Source organism: Homo sapiens, chromosome 9 (assembly GCF_000001405.40).
Source record: "Homo sapiens chromosome 9, GRCh38.p14 Primary Assembly".
NCBI lineage: Eukaryota > Metazoa > Chordata > Mammalia > Primates > Hominidae > Homo > Homo sapiens.
This window is the reverse complement of record NC_000009.12, coordinates 17,380,914-17,401,127: the sequence shown is the minus strand read 5'-3', so window position 1 is coordinate 17,401,127 and position 20,214 is coordinate 17,380,914. Positions and strand designations below refer to the sequence as shown.

Below are 20,214 nucleotides of genomic sequence, written 5' to 3'. Positions count from 1 at the left end.
AAATGCTAGGAACCTAAAGCAAGATTGCTATTTTCAGAAAGTACAGACAAACCGATTTTTGACCAATTTAGTGGAGAACACAGAAGAATCAGGACTTCAATGAGGATCAAATGAAATGTATAGGTCATTAAAAAATAGCAGTATAAAAATTTCCAAGATTAAAAATCTTTGCAATCATAAAGATTTTTATGTGTGTGTGGAATCTATAAACAGCAACAAAATGCAGGCCTAAAAAAGACCTGTACTCACAATTTGAAAAATAAATCTTTGTTATGTGAGACTACACTGTTTGATTGCAGAATTTTTCATATTCTTGACCACAACTGGGAATGAATGAATGAATTAACATATACATTTCACACATACATACAAATATGCTGAGGATGGGGTAAGGGGTGTTTCAGATAGCCAAAAAAAATGATTCCTTTTAATAATAATAAACATACAGTACTGAACATGTTTTAGGTGCTATTTTAATGTTCTATCCTATTTCTTTCTCACAACGTATCTATGAATATGATCCTATCATTATGCCTATTTTATGGATAATGAAATTGAAGCATAGACAGGTCAAATAGCATGCCTATGGTCACACAGCTAGAGGATGAGAGTTAGGATTTGAACAAAAGTAGTTTGGTAACAGATTCCACGTTCCTAATCCCTAAGATATACTCTAAATAATGGTACAGTTGGCCAGGCACAGTGGCTCACGCCTGTAATCCCAGCACTTTGGGAGGCCGAGGCAGGCAGATCACGAGGTCAGGAGTTCCAGACCAGCCTGGCCAACATGGTGAAACCTCATCTCTAGTAAAGATACAAAAAATTAGCCGGGCATTGTGGTGTGCGCCGGTATTCCCAGCTACGCAGGAGGCTGAGGCAGGAGAATCGCTTGAACCTGGGAGATGGAGATTGCAGTGAGCCGAGACCACGCCATTGCACTCCAGCCTGGGTGACAGGGTAAGACTCCATCTCAAAAAAATAAATAAATAAATAATGGTAGAGTTGTGTTGGGGAGAAAAAATATGTTTCTTTTATCCAACTTATGTTCTTGGCTGAGACACCGTAAAAATGCAGATTAGCAAAAGAAAACCAAACAAATCTATTTAATATAAGTTTTACATGATAAGGGAGCCTTCATAAGGAAATGAGGACCCGAAGAAACGGTTACATGCGAGGTTTGATGAAAAATAGAAAGTCATGGGAAAATGTGGTAAGACAAAAGAGTATGAGCTAAGCATAGTAAACTGGGGGACACTTAGTGTGGCTGTTCATTCAGATTCATCTTGGTGTTCCTCTGTCTTTTGAGATAAGGACGTTCCTTTCCTCTGGTATAAGGAAGCCACCTCTTATGTGAGGATCTTATAATCTGTTTCAGGGGAGAAGGTCACAGAGTCATTCTAGCACCTGCCATTTTTCAAATTCCTTCAACTATATTTTGGGAGGAGTATGTCCTGAACCCCATCAGTTGTTATCATCTGTTTACAAAAGGTGGTAATGTGAGTGAATATGCTGCTTTATAAAATGGAAGGAAGATGGAAAGGGCTTTAGCACTAAGGTTGAAAACTTTAAAAGGATCCAAATGCCATATTCCTGAAGCAAAAAGAAAAAGAAAAGTCAAAGAGCATCAGTTTCTTGTAAAATAATTTTGAATGAGAATAAAATGCACTAGTAGGGAGAGACATGAAGTCAGACAGGCTAAATACATAGAATCATGGAAGTTTATGTTGTGTTTGAGAAATGTGACCAGGCAATTAAATAAGTAACTTAATGATAAGAGAAAATAGAAGTAGAAAGTATGACTGTAGGGATGGAAAAAAATGATTTTCCCTCTAAGTTCTCATTTGAGACCCCTGTAACAAAAGACAGATTAACAAGTGAAAAACAAGTATATTAACATGTGTATCACACATATAATACATGGGACTACGTGGAAGTGAGTAGCTCAAAGAGGTGGCTTAGAACTCCAGTTTACATAGCATCTTCAGCAAAGAACAACAACTATTTAAAGAAGTGATAAGGGAAAAGAAAGGACTTGCGTCCCAAGGAACAGCAAATTGTAGGAAGGCAAATATATGGAAAACTAATGGTAGATGAAGGCTAGTTGGTAAAATGTGTTAACGTAGCTTCCTCTGGTGCTACCTCCAGGCTCATTAGGGACTCAAGTTGTCTCCAGTGATTAGTTTTTATCCCTTTTTGGCAGAGAGGGAAGAAGGAATACCTTGGTAAATGTATGTACTGCTTTTAGCGGGAGATAAGAGAGCTTTTCTTGTAACTGCTTTTTCTGAACTGGCTTCAGTTTGAAATAATTCTTATGCCAAAATTGCTTATTTTGGTATGGCACGTTTTGCAACCCTTTATAATCTCCTCAATAAATTCTTATTTCTCTGCTTCTGAAACCATGCCTCAAAGAGTTAAAGAAACCAATGATAAACAGAAATTCTTGAGTTTGCAGGCGGCAAATAAAAAAGAAACAACTTAATGAAACTCCCTCTGCTTATGAGATAAAAGAACTAGCTGAAATCAGTTGGAACCAATGTGGCTGACTGGAGTCTGCACAGAACGAGCTTGCTGATGTCACAGACTGAAATTCCACTGCATGTTTCATACTATCCCAGAATTGCATATGCAACTTATGATAGCATGAAGAGATAACCACTCAAGGACTTTGCAGATCTCCCCTTTCCTTTCACCAATCACCTATTAATCTCAGAACTCCCCCTCCCCCCATCACTTTCTAAAAATACTGCTTTGAAGCCAGCCTGGGAGACAGATTTGAGCTTGACACTCCTGTCTCCTTGTAAGTCAACTTGCAATATAAAGCTTTTCTTTTCTCAAAAACCCAGTGTCATAGTATTGACTTCTAGCATAAGGCAACGAGCCCCTTTTATTCAATAACACTACAAACTTCACTTCTCTTTCTTTAATTTGCTTGGAATACTGAAATTCTATTTTTCTTCTTGAAGATATAAACACCTCCTCCTGATAAAACCCATCACTGAAAAGGCATGCTCTTGTAAATACTATTCAACTATGGGAAATAAATACTGAGAAGGTGATAATCATATGATATAGTATTTTATATATACAAAATTATATATATACATACTATTTTTTTCAATATCCAAGTAACTCTTATATTTTTGTCTATAAAAATCTAAAAGAAAGAATCTTCTGAAGTCCCTAAAGCTCTAGTGCAAGAATTTCTAGCCGTTTGAGAATTCTTTTGCAGCTGAGTGACTCTTGAAGGCATTCTGTCAGGCAGGAAATGTAACACTAATCATGGTGTAAAATTGAGTTTTACTGCTAAATAACACAAATGACAATCCTATATTTTAAGAGATATTGTATGATATGTCTCTCAAAGTATGTGACCTTGTGCACATGCACTAATGTCAGAGGTGTTTGAAACAGAGCAACTCCATCTTGAATAGGTGCTGGGTAAAATAGGGCTCAGATCTGCCGGGAGGCATTCCCAGTAAGTTAGGCAATCTAAGTCACAGGATGAGATAGGAAGTCGGCACAAGATACAGGTCATAAAGACCTTGCTGATGAAACAGCCTGCAGTAAAGAAGCCGGTGAAAACCCATCAAAACCAAGAAGACAGTGATCAGAGTGACCTCTGGTCATCCTCGCTGCTATTCTCCCACCAGTGCCATGACAGTTTACCAATGCCATGGCAACGTCAGGAAGTTACCCTATATGGTCTAAAAAGGGGAGGCATGAATAATCCACTCCTTGTTTAGCCTATAGTCAGGAAATAACCATAAAAATGGGCAACCGCAGCCCCTGGGGACTGCTCTGCCTATGGAGTAGCCATTCTTTTATTCCTTTACTTTCTTAGTAAATTTGCTTTCACTTTACTCTATGGACTTGCCTCAAATTCTTTCTTGCGTGAGATCCAAGAACCCTCTCTTGGGGTCTGAATTGGGACCTCTTTCTGGAAACACTAATATGATAAAATTTAAAAAGTATATTAGTGAATTACCTAACTATTGATTATTTATTCATACATACATATTTGCACATAAGTAAATGGCACCACTTTATTTTGAATAGTGTGGTAGTACCAAGTGGTTAAGATAGAATTAGTAGCTAGCACTAGAATTTCCTTGAAGACAGAGGAATAATGAGATATAAAGATAACGCTTAGTGGGTGGGAAGTAAGTTTTTACCTCTAATTGCTATTGAGAGAAGGAAAGAAGAACCTCGGTAACACCGAAATGGGAATGCAGATTTGGTCCTTTGGCCTTTCCTTCATGAATATGTTTTTTGAGTTTCTTTAACTGCCTGAGGACAAGGGGCTTGAGTAGATGATGTTTAAAAACAGTGTTTCTCAAACTTGTCTGCACATTGGATTCAACAGGGAAACTTGAAAAAATACTTAGGCCTGTATCCCACTCCAAAGGTTATAATTTAATTTGTCTGGGGTGTGACCTAACCTTTGGAATGTTTATAAAACCTCCAGGTGCTTCTAATATGCAAACAAGTTTGGGGACCACATTTTAAGGTAATTTTCAGTTCTATGTCTGTGATTAGGAAAAGTATCCGGAGGCATCCCAAATCTAAAACAGAATCACTATTAGGGATTTAAAAACAAAACAAAATAAAAAACTAGGGAAAATCAAGGACATATGTCATTATAAAACAAGGCAGAATTTTTAAAATTATGGCAAATTGGGCAATTTGTTAGCAATTATGGCAACACTGAACTTCCCTACTGTCTAGATGTAAAAAAGAGGTGTTCTATCATTCGTCTTTGTGGTTTTGTTACAAGAAAGGGTCCTGATCCAGACCCCAAGAGAGGGTTCTTGGATCTTGCACAAGAAGGAATTCAGGGCGAGTCCACAGTGCAAAGTGAAAGCAGGTTTTTTAAGAAAGTAAAGGAATAAAAGAATGGCTATTCCATAGACAGAGTAGCCCTGAGGGGTGCTGGTTGCCCATTTTTATGGTTATTTCTTGACGATATGCTAAACTAGGGGTGTATTATTCATGCCTCCCCTTTTTAGACCACATAGGGTAACTTGCTGATGTTGCCATGGTATTTGTAAACTGTCATGGCGCTGGTGCGAGTGTAGCCGTGAAGACAACCAGAGATCACTCTTGTGGCCACCTTGGTTTTGGTGGGTTTTGGCTGGCTCCTCTACCGTAACCTGTTTTATCAGCAAGGTCTTTATGACCTTTGTTTTGTACTGACCTCCTATCTCATCCTGTGACTTAGAATGCCTTAACCATCTGGAAATGCAGCCCAGCAGGTTTCAGCCTCATTTTACCCAGCTCCTATTTAAGATGGAGTTGCTCTGGTTCACAGGCCTCTGACAGTTTTACTGATGTGTTTCAAGTGCATATATGAATGTATAGCCAGGGGTAAGAGAAAGAAGCATTATAGATTTTTAGTATCCTCCTGTTGCTGTTCACTAGGGGTACATATCTTAAGACTAGGAATCTTTAGAGCTATAACTTTAAAGAACTAATTTTTAACCACCATTCAATTAAAGTTAATACAATGACTTTGCATAATACATACATAAAATAATTAGTGAAGATGGTTCTTAATTTAAAGGATGTTAAACAGCTTGTAGACATCTGGTAACAAGCTGAAATGGGTCATTCAAAATTTATCTAACTAAATTAAGGGGGAAAATTGTTTCTCCTCCCAGGTTGGTATGTCACAAGATAACTAAACCGACTTAGTAGGCTTGCCTGGGAATCCTTAGCTGTCAGTGGTGAATATGCAAAGGGCCAGCAGATTAAATCAACCTGCCAAACTGTCAATTTCAAGCCTCATGACTGCATGAAAATAGCATCACTGAAAGAAATCAAGCATTGCCTTCTTTTGGGTTTCCTGGCACCTATTCAAGTACTCATGCAGTTGTGGCTAATTTTGCATGCAAATTTCAGTCAATAAGCTCAGAACAAGACCTCCCAAGATATTTCAAAGGATCTGACAGTATTTTTTCTGAATACCAAATCGACAGTAGTTGAAATTCAATCTCCATTTGCTAGTGCTTTACATATGCGCAGTGTCCCCACCACAGAGCTAAGTTAATGAGAGCCTTACCTGCTTTCACTCACATCCTCCCAGCCGTCCTTGCTGAGGTTCTCAAACACATTGCTCATAACCTTGATGGAATGATTGAGAACAGTGTGGTGACGACCCACAGAGCAATTTTTCTTCGCAGCTTTAAATTTAACCTTGGTCATAGTTGTCTTACAATCATATCGTCCAGATCTCACTTTCATGGTGGCCATCTCGGATTTAGCTCTGTCTGCTGACTGGTGTGATTTCTCCATTGGGTTGATCAGCTCTTCATTTTCATTTCTCAATGCATTAGCTTCTGCCACTTGTCTCCTCAGGGAAGTGACTTCTGTCTCCAGCTCACTGATTTTTACTTGAAGTTCAGTATTTTCTTTTTCTACATCTTTACTCCCCTTTATTATCTGTTCTAGCTCTTTTTCTCTGGTCTCTGTATCTTCTTGTTGCTGTTTTAAGAGGGATTTCAGAAAATCATTTTCTTTCATTAATTTTTTATTCCCTTCTTTTAATTTTCTCGACCTTTTCTCAAAAGATTTCAGCCGATTTTCCAACTCAGTGACCTAAAGGAAAGAGTTTATTCTTTTAAGAATCCAAAAACCATAATCTACTATACTTTATTACCATTTCTAACTTATGAAATAAAAATCACATTTAGCACAAGGACAAAATAAATATAAAGTACTTAATTTCTAGATAATTCTAAGGCAGTGCAGATGAATACATTCAAAAATGCAATAATGTATCTGTTGAATAAAGGACAGATGGTAAAAGAAGGTAAAATTCTACACAGTGACAGAACTAAGTATGCTAATAAACTGCAGTGTCTTCTGAGATCATAAGTGCCTTGGCTATATATTCTATTCATTGTGGAAAAAAATATTTCAGAGAAAAATAATATACACAAATGTCTAAAAGTAGATAAACTGTAATAATAAATAACTTTTTTTCAATATTCGACAATCATATGAAAAAGGAATGACAATATAAAGTAATCTACTGAGGCTGCTTTTTTTCTAAATTAGAAAAATGTAATTTTAGTAGTCATGTGGTCCTCAGTTTATGTGATAAGGGAACAGTTTACTAAATAATAAAGTCTAACAATTTTAAATTATAATGATTTCAAGGTTGCACATAAATTAAAATTTTCCCATTTATTTCAATAAACAATGCTTGTGTTATAGGACATAGCAATGGCAACACACATTTGTTAATCTTAAGGAATTTCAAAATTATTTGAAAAGACCAACACCTGCATACATAAACCTAATAAAGGATATAATCTAAGTATCATAAGTCTGGGCAATTAATTCTAGTTCATAATTTCAAACATTTCATGGAGGAGTTGACTTACATTTAGATCTTATTAATAATAAGTGTTATTGTTTGTAAAGTACATTTTACTATTTACAAAATAGTTTCAAAAACATGATCAACATGATCTCTTCTGACCATCTCAAAACGTGAGGTATGTAGAACCAACAATTATCTTTCCAGACAGGAAAGAGAGGTTCTGAAAACTTAAATTTCACAGAGGTAAACTTTTCTGGGATTCAACTGGGATCCAAATTCAGGATTTTGTGCCCTTCCCACTATTCAACAAGGCATATGAGAAAGAAAAATTACTCAGACGTGTATGGAAAATGAACAAAGATTTGGAGTCAAGAAAAAACTGGAGACAAGCAAAACAATCTAAATGACTGAAAAAGTATATGAACTCATTTTTACTTTTAAAACAAAATTCTTCAAAGAGAAACATGTTTGATATACTGACAACTCCGATGGTCTGAATACTTGTGTCCCTCACAAAATTCATATGTTGAAACCTGTTCACTAGTTTGATGGCATGATGAGGTGGCGCCTTTGGAAGGTGATTGGATCATGAGGGTGGGGCCCTCATGAATGGGATTAGTGCTATTATAAGAGACCCCAGAAGCTAGCTAGCTCCTTAGACCATGTGAGGACACAGCAAGAAGGCACCATCTATGAAACAGAAAGAGAGTCCTCACAAGACACTGAATCTCAGATCTTGGACACTTGGATCTTGGACAACAAATTTCTATTGTTTATAATCCTCTCAGTTTTAGCATTTTCTATAGCCAACTGAAGAGACTAAGACAACAACCAATGATTCAAAATAATAATATTCCAGAAATATACAAGATAAAACATACATATTCTTAACACTTTCCAGTTTACTAAACTTTACTTGTAATAGTGAAGATGTAAATTGTTTCCTAAACATGAATTTCAGTCATGTCTGATTTACACATCCTTCTATATTACCCTTTTTTTTTTAATGTTCAACCTCTTTCATTTAAATCAACATTAATTTACTAAGTGACTACACTATCCTGGGGCATGGGTATTTCTCAACACAGTATGAAGAATCTCACCTAATTTTAATCACTTCTATTCCATGGTATGATATATTAACCTACTATTGGACCTATGTCCTTAAAGGACCTACACATGACCTGGAATAAAGGTATCTGAAAAATTTTGTCTCAAACTATTGTAGACTTCTGCATATTTCTGTGAAAGAGATTGTATTGTTCCTTCTCAATGTAAACACTTTATTGGGGAGCTGATTAATATGACAAAAAATACAGTGTTCAAGAAAAAAATCTATGCCAGAATCCTTTTTACTTTTTCCAAATCACTCTACCTCTAAATTTTATTGAAGGAGTGTTAATCACTGCCCAAATCAGCATACTTTTCATAAATATATTTTAAAATACTTTTGCATATTAAATTCCAAAGGGGAGTGAGTAAAACATACTCTATTTTTTAAATACATATTTGATGCAAGTAAGTAATTACACTTTCTTTGAGTCAAGATCTCACTTTATTGCCCAGGCTGGAGTGCCATGGCTCGATCATGGTTTTTCAGCCTTGACCTCCTGGGCTCAAGTGATCCTCCCACCTTAGCCTCCCAAGGAGCTAGGACCAGAGGCATGCACCATCACACTTGGCTAATTTTTTATATTTTGTAGAGATGGGGTCGCATTGTGTTGCCTTGATTGGTCCACATTTTTTCTTTAAACAGTGACTTTGGTGATACAAAAATATTATTAAGAAGCAGTATGTTTTAGGGGAAACAGAATTTTGAATCAGGTCTATATCTCACTTCCAACTCTACTTGCTTTAGCTGGTAAAATATTTAAGTTATTTTACCTTTAGTTTCCTCATCTGTGAAATGAGGATAGTAATACCTACATCTTGCAGTTTTGTTGGGAGTATTAAATGTGATCATAAACCATAATTCCTGACAGTAAGTAGTAAACAATTTATTATCATTATCATTATTACTGTTTCTATTATCATTCACCTTAACATCTACCTAATAAAACTGCTGTAACTAAAATATAATTACTTGTGCTGAATAGTCTGAATTAGCCATTAAATCAGCTGTATATTTCAATTAAATTATGTTATAAACAAATATAACAAATAAATATCTTAAATTTGAGATTCCAATTCTGGAAATTAGCATTTTTTTTCTGTTGACTGAAATCCATTTAAGTTTGGGGACAACTCATTAAAATTTTACATACGTTGGGGCTCAGAATACAACACACCAAAGTATGTCACTTTGGCTTGCCAAGTACCTTAAATTGAAGGTCACTGGAAGTGCCTCAGAAGCAAGATCTCCTGCCTTCCTGTCACCCTCCCCTTTTTCTCCTCTAAAGGAAGTCATATCAAACATAATTCCTCTTCCCTAAGGCAGGTCATACAAACTAGAACTCCTCTCCCCAAAAGCAAGCCATAAAACCAAGAAAGGTCACTTTCTCCCTTCTCAGTTCTGCCTTGAAGACTTTCATTCCAGAGGGGTCCTGTCCTATACCCAGGGAGGAAGGAAGTCTACACAGAGGGCAAGAAGAATCTGAGCAGACAGGCCTTGCTTGGTTTGCCCCTCCTTAGCCTATTACCATAGACATATCCTTTTGTACAGATACATTTCTACATGGCTATCCTTTCTTTATCAAACCTAAGCACATAAATAGACAGTTTTCTCTGGGTCTTTGTTTTTGAAGCGTCCTGTGGCACATAAAACTTTGATTAAATAAATGTTATGTATTTCTCGTGTTAACCTGCCTTTTATTATAGGAGTGTCAACTGTGGCCCTTATGATAGGTGAGGAAAGATGCCACAACTTTCCACCCCTATATACATACCAACTGAAGATGTCTGTGGTTTTAAGGTCTGTTAACTTCCTAATATGAATGTATGTTTAATCATGAGAACTGGTCAAAATTATTTAAATTTAAAATGGAGGACAAATAACAAAACAGAGACACTACTTCTAAACATTTTGAAAAGGGAAAATCCATAGCACTTATTAAAGTGTTATTCAAGGTATACTCTCAAAAATTGTTAAACTGATTTTAATCCTTCAAAAACAGCAAAGTAAATTTTAATACATATTTGAGAATGAAAGTCTGGGGAACTGTTAAAAGTATTCAATCTGTGGGTTATAATTCAGCTCAAGCCCATATTTTCTTATAGTTCTGAACATTTAAAATAATATACCAAATAGATGGCTCTTTTCAGGCCGGGTGCAGTGGCTCATGCCTGTAATCCCAGCACTTTGGGAGGCTGAGACAGGCAGATTAGTTGAACCCAGGGGTTCGAGACCAGCCTGGCCAACATGGTGAAATGAAACCTCATCTCTACGAAAAACACAAAAATTAGCCAGGCATAGTGGCGCACACCTGTAGTCCCAGTTACTTGGGAGACTGAGGCACGAGAATCGCTTGAACCTGGGAGGCGGAGGTTGCAGTGAGCCAACACTGCCCACTGTACTCCAGCCTGGGTGACAGAGCAAGACTCTGTCTCCAAAAAAAAAAAAAAAAAAAAAGAGGCTCTTTTCAAAACTGAAATACAATGCCTGATATTATGAAGCTATGAAATGTGTGTATTAGTTTGCTAGGTTTGCCATAATAAAGTATAACAGAGTAGGTGACTTAAACAACAGAAATTTATTTTCTCACATTCCTGGAGTCTAGAAGTCCAAGATCAAGGTGTCAGCAGGGTTGGTTTCTTCTGAGGCCTTTCTCCTTGGCTTGTAAATGGCTATCTTTTCCCTGTGTCTTCACATGGACTTCCCTCTGTATTTGTCTGTATTCTAATTTCCTTTTTTTAAATAAAGACACCAGTCATGTTGAATTAGGGCTCACCCTAATAGCCTTACTTTAACTTAATTACCTCTTTAAGGACCCTATCTCCAAATACAGCCACGTTCTGAGATAATACAGCTTAGGACTCTTAATATATATAAATGTGGGGGACAGGACACAATTCTGCCAATAACAATGTGAAATGTTAATATATTATTTTCAAAATAATCTGCATATATGTTTCATTTCTACTATATACAAATATTGTTTTCATCTTATTACTATTTTTTAAATTTATTTTGAGTGAGTTTCATATATAACCTTTTAAAATAATGAAACTCAAACATGAGGAATTAACTTGTGCTTGATAAAACTACATTAGGTAAATATAAAAAATAGTATACCAACTTGACATACAGTACAATGAAAATAATTTATATTGGTTGTTCAGGTCTTAAAATGGATGTCTGGATCTACTATTGTAGCATTCATTTATGGCAGATGGAATGAAATAATGGCTTTCTTCAGGGTTTCTACCCTAAGGCAAGAAATAGTAGCATAGTATTACATATCCATAGATACAAAAATTATACAAAACCTGGCAAATAAAAATATTGTTCTGAAAAAACGGTGATAAGCTAGTGTGAACTGTATGACATCCTAGCTGGTAGTGCATAGATTAATTCAATTAATCATTTTACCTAAAGATAAATGAATGTAAGCATTTCTAGTTCTCTGTGTTACTATGTTAACTTGATATGTGTCATTCAGTAATAATGAGATGACAGCCTTTGTGACCTGACAAGTGTTAGAAGTATGAACAATCACATTATCTGCTGTAAATCACTAGATTTCCTACAAGTCAATTCAGAGATGCAACAATATATAAGTTACTATGTTAATATTTTTATTTATATATTTGTACATTTTCAGCTTTATCTAAGTATTAAGGTTCTGTAAAAAACTAAAATCAATCTAATGTAGCCAAATGACAATCACAAGAACAAACTATTTAAAGATTATTTTCTTTATAACAAAGTGTTAATAATTAGATCCACTTAATTGAACTTGATAACAATGTATTTATTTATAAAAATGCAAATTAAGTATAAAATTATAAAGGTAAATATTAATATTTTAAAACAGTATTTTACTATTAATGATAGACATGTTATAATATGACTAAGGTTTACATGGATGATCTTATTAAAACATAAAATGCTGTACTAAATCATACTGGTATAAATTTTTATCTAAAATGAGAAGAGTCACGTATATTTTCATGTTTAACATTAAAACTATAAACATATTACCATTTTACTGTGGCAAAACTATAACTATGCTCAGTATTTTAGATCAAATATTATAAATCTCTATATTTGTGGAAGTACAGCAGTCTTATTAAAATATACTTTAAACTAAGTTATAACTAACAAGCACATATAGTCTACATTTCTGTAATTTCTATTTTTCTCATTCTCTCCATTTCACCTTTTGAAAATAATGTTAATCTACATCAATGGAAGCACAAGTGTTTACACATTTATTTCACTAACATTGATTTTTTTTACCCCATTTTGGCAAGCCAATGATTTTGAATTATGAATTTAAATTAAGGATTCACACAAGGTTTACATTTACAAGCCCTCGTTTTAAAATATAATCCTTTATGTTAAAATTCAGATTTAACTTGCTCAGCTCAATATCTTAAAGATTAGACTACCTTCTGTAATGTCTGCTCCAACATTTCTTTTCCATTCTTCTCTGGAGTACTCCTCTTGACCTCATCATCTTCACCAGATCTAAAGAGCTGTTCTGGTAGAGAATAAATAATATATTATGATACCACGTGTACTGCTGAAATACTGTCCTGTCATTTTAAGAAAAAGGGTTCTATGGTTTTTCAACTGTGAATAATCTAGGCTATTTTCTTGTCAAGTATTTGGCCAGTAACTAAACAATGACCCTTTTCAAGATTTTTAGCAACATAATTATGTATCTTTGTAGTGCCACCTTTTTTTTTTTTTTTCAGTATAAGATTTTTCAAAAGTACAATAGATCTTCAGGTTAACAATGCTACACTTTTATTCCTATTTTCATTCTTTTGTAGACTATTCCCCCTTTGCCTTAAAAGCAGAATTCATTACCTTTTTATCTACACAGTCACTACTAGTTTTGTTCTCTGGATCTTGTTCCCTGCCAGGAGGATCACAGTGATTGCTGAACAAAGCAAACAGTAACAGAATTAGGGTGGATTGAAATTGTAACAACCCCTACCACAACCTTTTTTTCAAGTGAAGGATCATGCACTGGGTGAGGTAAACCATACAAATCACTCTTCTAGAAATACTGTGACTTCATAACAAATAGAAAGCTAGGTATATGGGTGAGGTTATAGCTACAAATCATTCCTACACTAGCTATACATTTGACTGCCAAAACCTTTTCAACCAAGCCAAAACCTACAAGTAACTTAACAACCTTAAAGAAAAAACAAAGTCATAAAACTTCAGTTAATACTAAAATCAAAATATATCAAATCCTATAAATAACTTTTTTCTTATCAGATAAATTACTATGACAAATTTTACTAACATTTTCTTAGTGAATTAATTCTGGAATATAACATTTCTTAAGGAATAAAAAGGGGACAAAAAAGAATATATAAAACTAAAAGGATATATATCTGTGTTAGCCTGAGATTATTTTGCTTTAAAGTATGCTTGGCTGCTGTAGGTCAGTGTAAAACTTTGATTTCTCAACAAAGGAAAAAGAAAACAATATTATTCTCTGTAGAGTAGAAATCCTCCTGGTATAAACAGTGACTAACAAGTTTGTTAGAGTGAATTAGGCATTTCTTTTGTCTTTGAAAAATGACATACCCAATTAAAACTTCTGTACTTATGAAATAATTAGAACAGTATCCGAAGGATAATAAAAGCTAGGATAGGTAGAATTTGCCACCTGGGGAATAAGTACCTTTACCTTGATAATAATCTATCAGTTCCCAAGTTTCTTCTTCTAGTCCCCTAACACCATGGTGCTGAATTCATTTACAGCAATCTTTCAGCAGTATAGAAATAATATGCAAATACAATTCATCCTTTCTAGTCATTTAAATATCTGTTATACTTCTGAGTGAAATATTTCATCTTAAAAATAATAGTTCTATATTCAAAGAGCATGGGATGCCAACAATAGCTAAATACTTCCAATAAAGTAAATGGTGAAGACTGATTTAAAAATGAATTTGTGTGCTGCTTGTTTGCTCCTGGATGTGTGTGAGGTCCACTGGTAGATTGGCTAACCATGTTCACCTGTACTTATCTGCTGACGTTTGTTTCTCCCCTTCACCGGTTTATACAGAACGCTCAAGAAGATAAGCTCATGCCATGGAAAGAAACAAGGATCCAATTTTCTGGCCCTTGATTCTCTTTCTCTTCAAGGATCCCAGGATTTGGGAAATAAACCAACAAGACCTAGTTAGAAATACACACTCCTATTTCTTTCCTATGGTAGATGTGAGCATATGCTTCACTTTACTGGAGATTTATTTTTGATATTTTAGTTTTAAATGCTTTACTTTTACTAGTATAAACATTCATTCTAATTTATATTCTTTCTCAGGAGTTTCTTCTCTCCATTTTTTCTTTTTCTCATTAACCTTTAATTTTGCTTATTCATAGTTATTTAAGAGCTTAGTATATTCTATTTTCTATATTTTTTCTTTTAATCCTCTTGGCTTAAATAATTAATATAAAGTTTTCTGCAATCTTTTACTTTGTATTCTTTTAGATTCTTTTTTTTAATTAATTTAACAAATGATTTGAAAAATCTATTATCATTGTTTTTTCCCTGATCTTAATATGAAGCTTCATACAAAAAGTTTCTTAAAGGTCAGTTTGTGATTATATCAATTTGAGGGATTAAGAAAGGAAAACAGTTATCAACTTATTGTATGGGCAATTTCCTAAAGAATATTGCTATTTTTATTTCACTTTTAGGAAAAGAAAATGAGAATCATAGTGGGTAGGTTTTACTTCAGAAGGTACTTGTGATACAATAAGAAACACATACAGTCGTTCCTGTTCCAGGGACCTTCCTGGGATACCTAAATCCAACCATGCTCAAGTCCCTGATGTAGCATTTGCAAATAACCTATGCACATCCTCCTGTATAGTTTAAATAATCTCTATATTACTTATAATAACTAATACAATGTAAATGCTATGTAAATATTGTTATACTACATTGTTTAGGGAATAACAAGATAAAAAGTCTATACATGTTCAATACAGATACAATTTTTTTTCAAATATTTTTGATCTGCAGTTGGTTGAATCCAGGGATGTGGAACCCGTGGATACAGAGGGTCCACTGTATTTGGATTTTGTCCCCAGTTCCTGAAACATAGTTTCTAAAACCTTTGGAATTTCTTGAGTAATAGGACCATCTTTTGTTATTACAAGCAAAGCATAACAAGCTCCTTTCAACCATACCAGAGTTTATGCTTAATAAGATGATTCCTGGTGAGCCCCTAGATAGGTTCAAGATGAGGACTGGCTGCAAGAGGAGGCAACCATGTGATTAGATGGTTTTAACGTCCAGCCCCACCACCAGGCCTCTGCAGAGGGGAGAGGAAATGGAGACTGAATTCAGTCACCAATGGCCAATGATTGAATCAATGATGGCTACTTAATGGAAGCTCCATAACAAACTCTGTGGAGTTTGGAGAAATTCCAAGTTGGTGAACACATTGAGGTGCTGAAGGTGGCATGCTCAGAAAGGACACAAAAGCTTCCTTTTCCTTCCTCCATACCATGAACTATGCAACTCTTCTATTTGGCTGTTCCTGAGTTGTATCCTTTATAATAAACAAGCAATAGTAAATGGAAAACTTTTTTGAGCCATTCTAGCAAATTAACTAATCTGAGGAAGGGCTCCTGGGAACCCCCAATTTAAACTCAGTTGGTCAGAAATACAGGTGGAAACCTGGGACTTGTGACTGGGATCTAAAATGGAGGCAGTCCTGTGGGACACAGTCCTTAATCTGTAGGGTCTGCACTAATTCTAAGTAGCTAGAATTGAACTGAATTGCCCAATTGGAGTTTAGAGAAGCAATGAGTTAGTTGTTGGGTGGAAGAAAAAAACCTATAAAATTGGTGTCAGAAGTATTGTGAGTAAAAATAACTCTGAACACTGTTTCAGATAAGTGAATTGGGGATAAATAGGCAATAATCAGCAAGAACTGCCATGAAAAAGTTTTTGGTTTTTGTGTTAATTTAAAATTGTTGTCTTAGGCAAAATAAAGTCAGATCAGCCAACTATAATTAGAACCCATCTCCTCCGAGAAGTAACCATAAGCCAATGAAAACTGAAGTCCCATTTCTGATGAATGAAATGGCAAGAAATAAATCCTGTTTCTGATGAGTAGGAGAGAATTTCAATCACTTGATATGACTGTTACACTTGGCACCTCTTTCTGGAGACCCAGACCATCCCCTTTGAGTTTACCTGGGCAGGAGGCCTGGGAAGAATCTATTCAATCAGTGAAAATTCAAAGACAATTAGCCCATTTTTGTTACCAGCCACAAATATTCTAAAAAGGAAGTTACCAGGACGATGTAAGTATCTTTTTCTAGGACGAGAGGTAGGAAAACAGAAGGATAAGTAGTTTTTTTTTTTTCATTTTATTTATTGTAAATTACACCCAATAAATAGGCTTCCTTGCCTTAAAAATAAAATGTCTTTAAGCTGGGGACTTGATGAACTCGATCCTATTAGCTCGCTGGATGAATCAGGGGAATTTGAACATGCTATCTTTAATTCCTCTAGCTAGCTTGAAAGCCATGTGTAACACCCTCTTTTTATTTTATGCTATTCCTTAAGCCCACACTTTTAAAATATTTTAGACTGTTTATTTTCTACTTCCAAGTGCTTCATTATATTTTAATTTCGATCTTTATATTTAAATGAATTAGCTTTGTGAAGTTTAACATTGTAACTGTGTTTCTGATTTCATATAAATTTCATGTTACGGGCCGGGCAAGGTGGCTCACGCCTGTAATCTCAGTACTTTGGGAGGCCGAGACAGGCAGATCACGAGGTCAGGAGATCGAGACCATCCTGGCTAACACGGTGAAACCCCATCTCTACTAAAAATACAAAAAAATTAGTCGGGCATGGTGGCAGGCGCCTGTAGTCCCAGCTACTCGGGAGGCTGAGACAGGAGAATGGCGTGAACCCAGGAGGCAGAGCTTGCAGTGGGCCGAGATCACGCCACTGCACTCCAGCCTGGGTGACAGAACAAGGCTCCATCTCAAAAAAAAAAAATTCATGTTACGAATTACTTCTTGCAATTAACTTTTGTTTCAATTTACTTTAATATTTCTCTATATTCCTAATACTCCTTTGGCTTGTTTTAAAAATAATTTTTTTAATTTTAAAATTCCCATTTTTTTTTAAGACAGGGTCCTGCTGTATCACCCAGGCTGGAATGCAGTGGCGTGATCTCAGCTCACTGTAACCTCCGCCTCCAGAGCTCAAGTGATCCTCCAGCCTCAGCGACCCAAGTAGCTGGTAGTACAAGTGTGTGCCACCACACCCAACTTTTTTTTTTTGGTAGAGACAGGGTTGCCCAGGCTGGTCTCAAATTCCTGGATTCAAACGATTCACCTGCCTCAGCCTCTCAAAATCTTGGGATTACAGTGTGAGCCACAGCGCCATGTTGGTAACAACTACAAAGAAGCATGACTTTAAGCATAACAGAAGCAACCAAAATCTGTGTATAAATCATTTATATAGATATATTTGTGTGTGTATATACATATACGTACAATGCATATGTTTTATATAATATTTTATATATTTATATATGTTGAGGGTACAAACAAAGAGAACAGAAAAAGGCTTTAGATAGGAGGTCACACCTCAGTTCTATTGTTAAAGATGAGGAGGTCTTTTCTACATGGAACCTGCAAGAAAGGAATATAGTACTGTGTACACTGGTCCAGAGGTTAAACGCTAAAGCACTTTTGGGGTTTTATTTTGCTGATTTTTCAGTTCCAGGGAGGAAAAAATAATGCTAAACATATGAAAGATAAGGCTAATGAGGTAGGCAGGGGCTAATTTTCAGTGGGATAAATGAATTTGGGCTTTATTTTGCTATTAGCAGAAGTCACTAAATAAGAGAATAAGATCAGAAATATTAACACACCAAGAATAGGGCTGGAAGGAATGCCCTTATGCTAGATTGGATAGCAATTGTAAGTAGTATAAAACGAAACTGCAGTCTGACCTTCCTTTATTTATAAAATATACTGCATGGGTTTTAGAACAATTTTTGTTATTCTCCTTAAATGTTTAGGTACTAGGTATATGCTCAACAGATTAATGACTGTGCATTAAATTATGGTCACAAAGAATTAGTTAATATTAATCATTCCAAGAAGTAAATATTTTAACATTTTTATTGATGTTGAAAAGTTTTTGCCTTTATTGGAGAAAACCTGAATATGCCTAAAAGGTTTTCCCTTTTGTTCCCAAGATGTTCCCTTGATTTGGCTCTAAGTTAAAGTAGGATGACCATTTCCGAAGGCTTGATTGTTTTGGTGATGTTCTTTTTGGTATGTATCCAACACAATCTATTCTTAATAGTAAGTAAACTTGAGTTACTTGCCAGAAATCTGGAACTTAAATTGTATGCTGCCCAGCTATTATGAAAGTCTATGCTTTTGTAAATTAATATTTAATAAGGACAATCTGAAATTTGCAATCCATTTACTCCATTCTAGATGCTTTATTTCTGGATTGGGTCAGACTATCTAGAAAGCCATATGCTCGCAACATATACTAACAGCTCCAGCATACTTTTGTTCACTGGCTTAAGATTTTATATCATACTATGGTAGATTATTACTCAGCAAATGCTTACTCCTTTCATGGATACCTTCATGGATGCAGTACAGATCCCTGCTCCATTAATGTTGAGTTTGGCCATGTGATTTGCTTGGACTAGGGAAACATGGGTATAAATGAGCCTAGAACTCAAGAAATTGTATGCTTCTGATCACCCCTTGGAAATTTCCAACATCCACCTTGAAAAGAACATGTTCAGGTAGTCACTGCCCCTTCAGCCTGGGACTGGGATTAAGAAATATGGAGCAGACCTAAATCCAATATTGCCTCAAGGTGAAGCACTCCAGCCAACCAACAGACCTGCAGCCTGCAGCACAGTTATCCCAGCTGATAGACTCATGAGCAAGAAATAAATGTTTATTACTGCATGCTAGTGAGACTTTGTGGTTGTTTATTCTGCAGCAAAAGCTGATGGGATACAGAAATTGGTAACTTTAAGTGGGGTGCTGCTATGATAAAAGACTAAATTATGTGGCACTGATTTTGGGACTGGGTGGTGGGTGGCAAAATATATGTTACAGGATGCTGAGAAAATGGTAACCCATGTTATGTAGTTACAAAACATTTGGAAAACTGCCACCTGGCATAACCTGGAAGGCAAAAAATGTACCTAATAACTTAATAAATTTTATACTGAGTGAGGAGGTGTCAGTGCAGAATGCTGATAGTATGAGTTTGGTTATTGCTGGCTGCACTTGACTAGCTACTCTAAGAAAGATCAGAGCTCAGAAAGGCACTGGCCATTGAAATTTGGGAAGTGTATAAGTTCCAGTACTTCTAGAGTTGGAAAATGAAATTGTTTGTTACCATATCAAAGGAGTGGACACTAAATCACTGGCAGCATAAAGGCCAAATCTCAGATGCTGACATTAAAACATGGCTCGGGATTTGGCTGTCATGCCTGTTGCTAATAATTTCTGAAAGGAATAATGCAAGGCCTAGTAGACTCTGGGTAAAGGCCTAAAAATACTACCCCAATCCTCCATAGAAACTAACACTGACAGTACGAATTGTTGTTGGCTGTATTTAATAAGAAGACTTGCTTTAGCCAAAGAAATCACGGGTGGAGGTGACAGTGTGCCAGTTCCAAACATAGGCAAAAGAAGCTCTTCATGTTTACACTTGTTGCATTGTGTTCAAGAATCA

At 35.6% G+C, this 20,214-nt stretch overlaps 1 protein-coding gene across 20 annotated transcripts in view, besides 2 other annotated features; it reads right to left on the bottom strand.

Moving 5' to 3' along the window:
* The window catches only part of CNTLN (centlein), a 393,595-nt gene that overhangs the window by 127,507 nt on the left and 245,874 nt on the right, over window positions 1–20,214 (bottom strand). For all 20 annotated transcript variants that reach the window (XR_007061321.1, XR_007061322.1, XR_929282.3 and 17 more), the window contains 2 exons: window positions 12,875–12,966; window positions 6,059–6,594 (listed from right to left, as the gene is read on the bottom strand). Coding sequence is in view for 17 of the 20 variants with exons in the window: in XM_017014839.2 (XP_016870328.1) it covers window positions 6,059–6,594; window positions 12,875–12,966 (628 nt within the window). In the remaining 3 variants the exon portion in view is untranslated. The remainder of the gene's footprint in view (window positions 1–6,058; window positions 6,595–12,874; window positions 12,967–20,214) is intronic.
* Window positions 3,398–3,919: an enhancer, noted in NCBI's record as "OCT4-NANOG hESC enhancer chr9:17397207-17397728 (GRCh37/hg19 assembly coordinates)". NCBI's record gives its function as "activates a minimal SCP1, AML or CMV promoter by ChIP-STARR-seq in naive and primed H9 embryonic stem cells {active_cell/tissue: H9 hESC(naive and primed)}" and the evidence as "EXISTENCE:reporter gene assay evidence [ECO:0000049][PMID:30033119]".
* Window positions 3,583–3,877: a silencer, noted in NCBI's record as "tiled region #9002; HepG2 Repressive non-DNase unmatched - State 24:Quies, and K562 Repressive non-DNase unmatched - State 24:Quies". NCBI's record gives its function as "represses a minimal TATA promoter and a strong SV40 promoter by Sharpr-MPRA in HepG2 and K562 cells {active_cell/tissue: HepG2 | K562}" and the evidence as "EXISTENCE:reporter gene assay evidence [ECO:0000049][PMID:27701403]".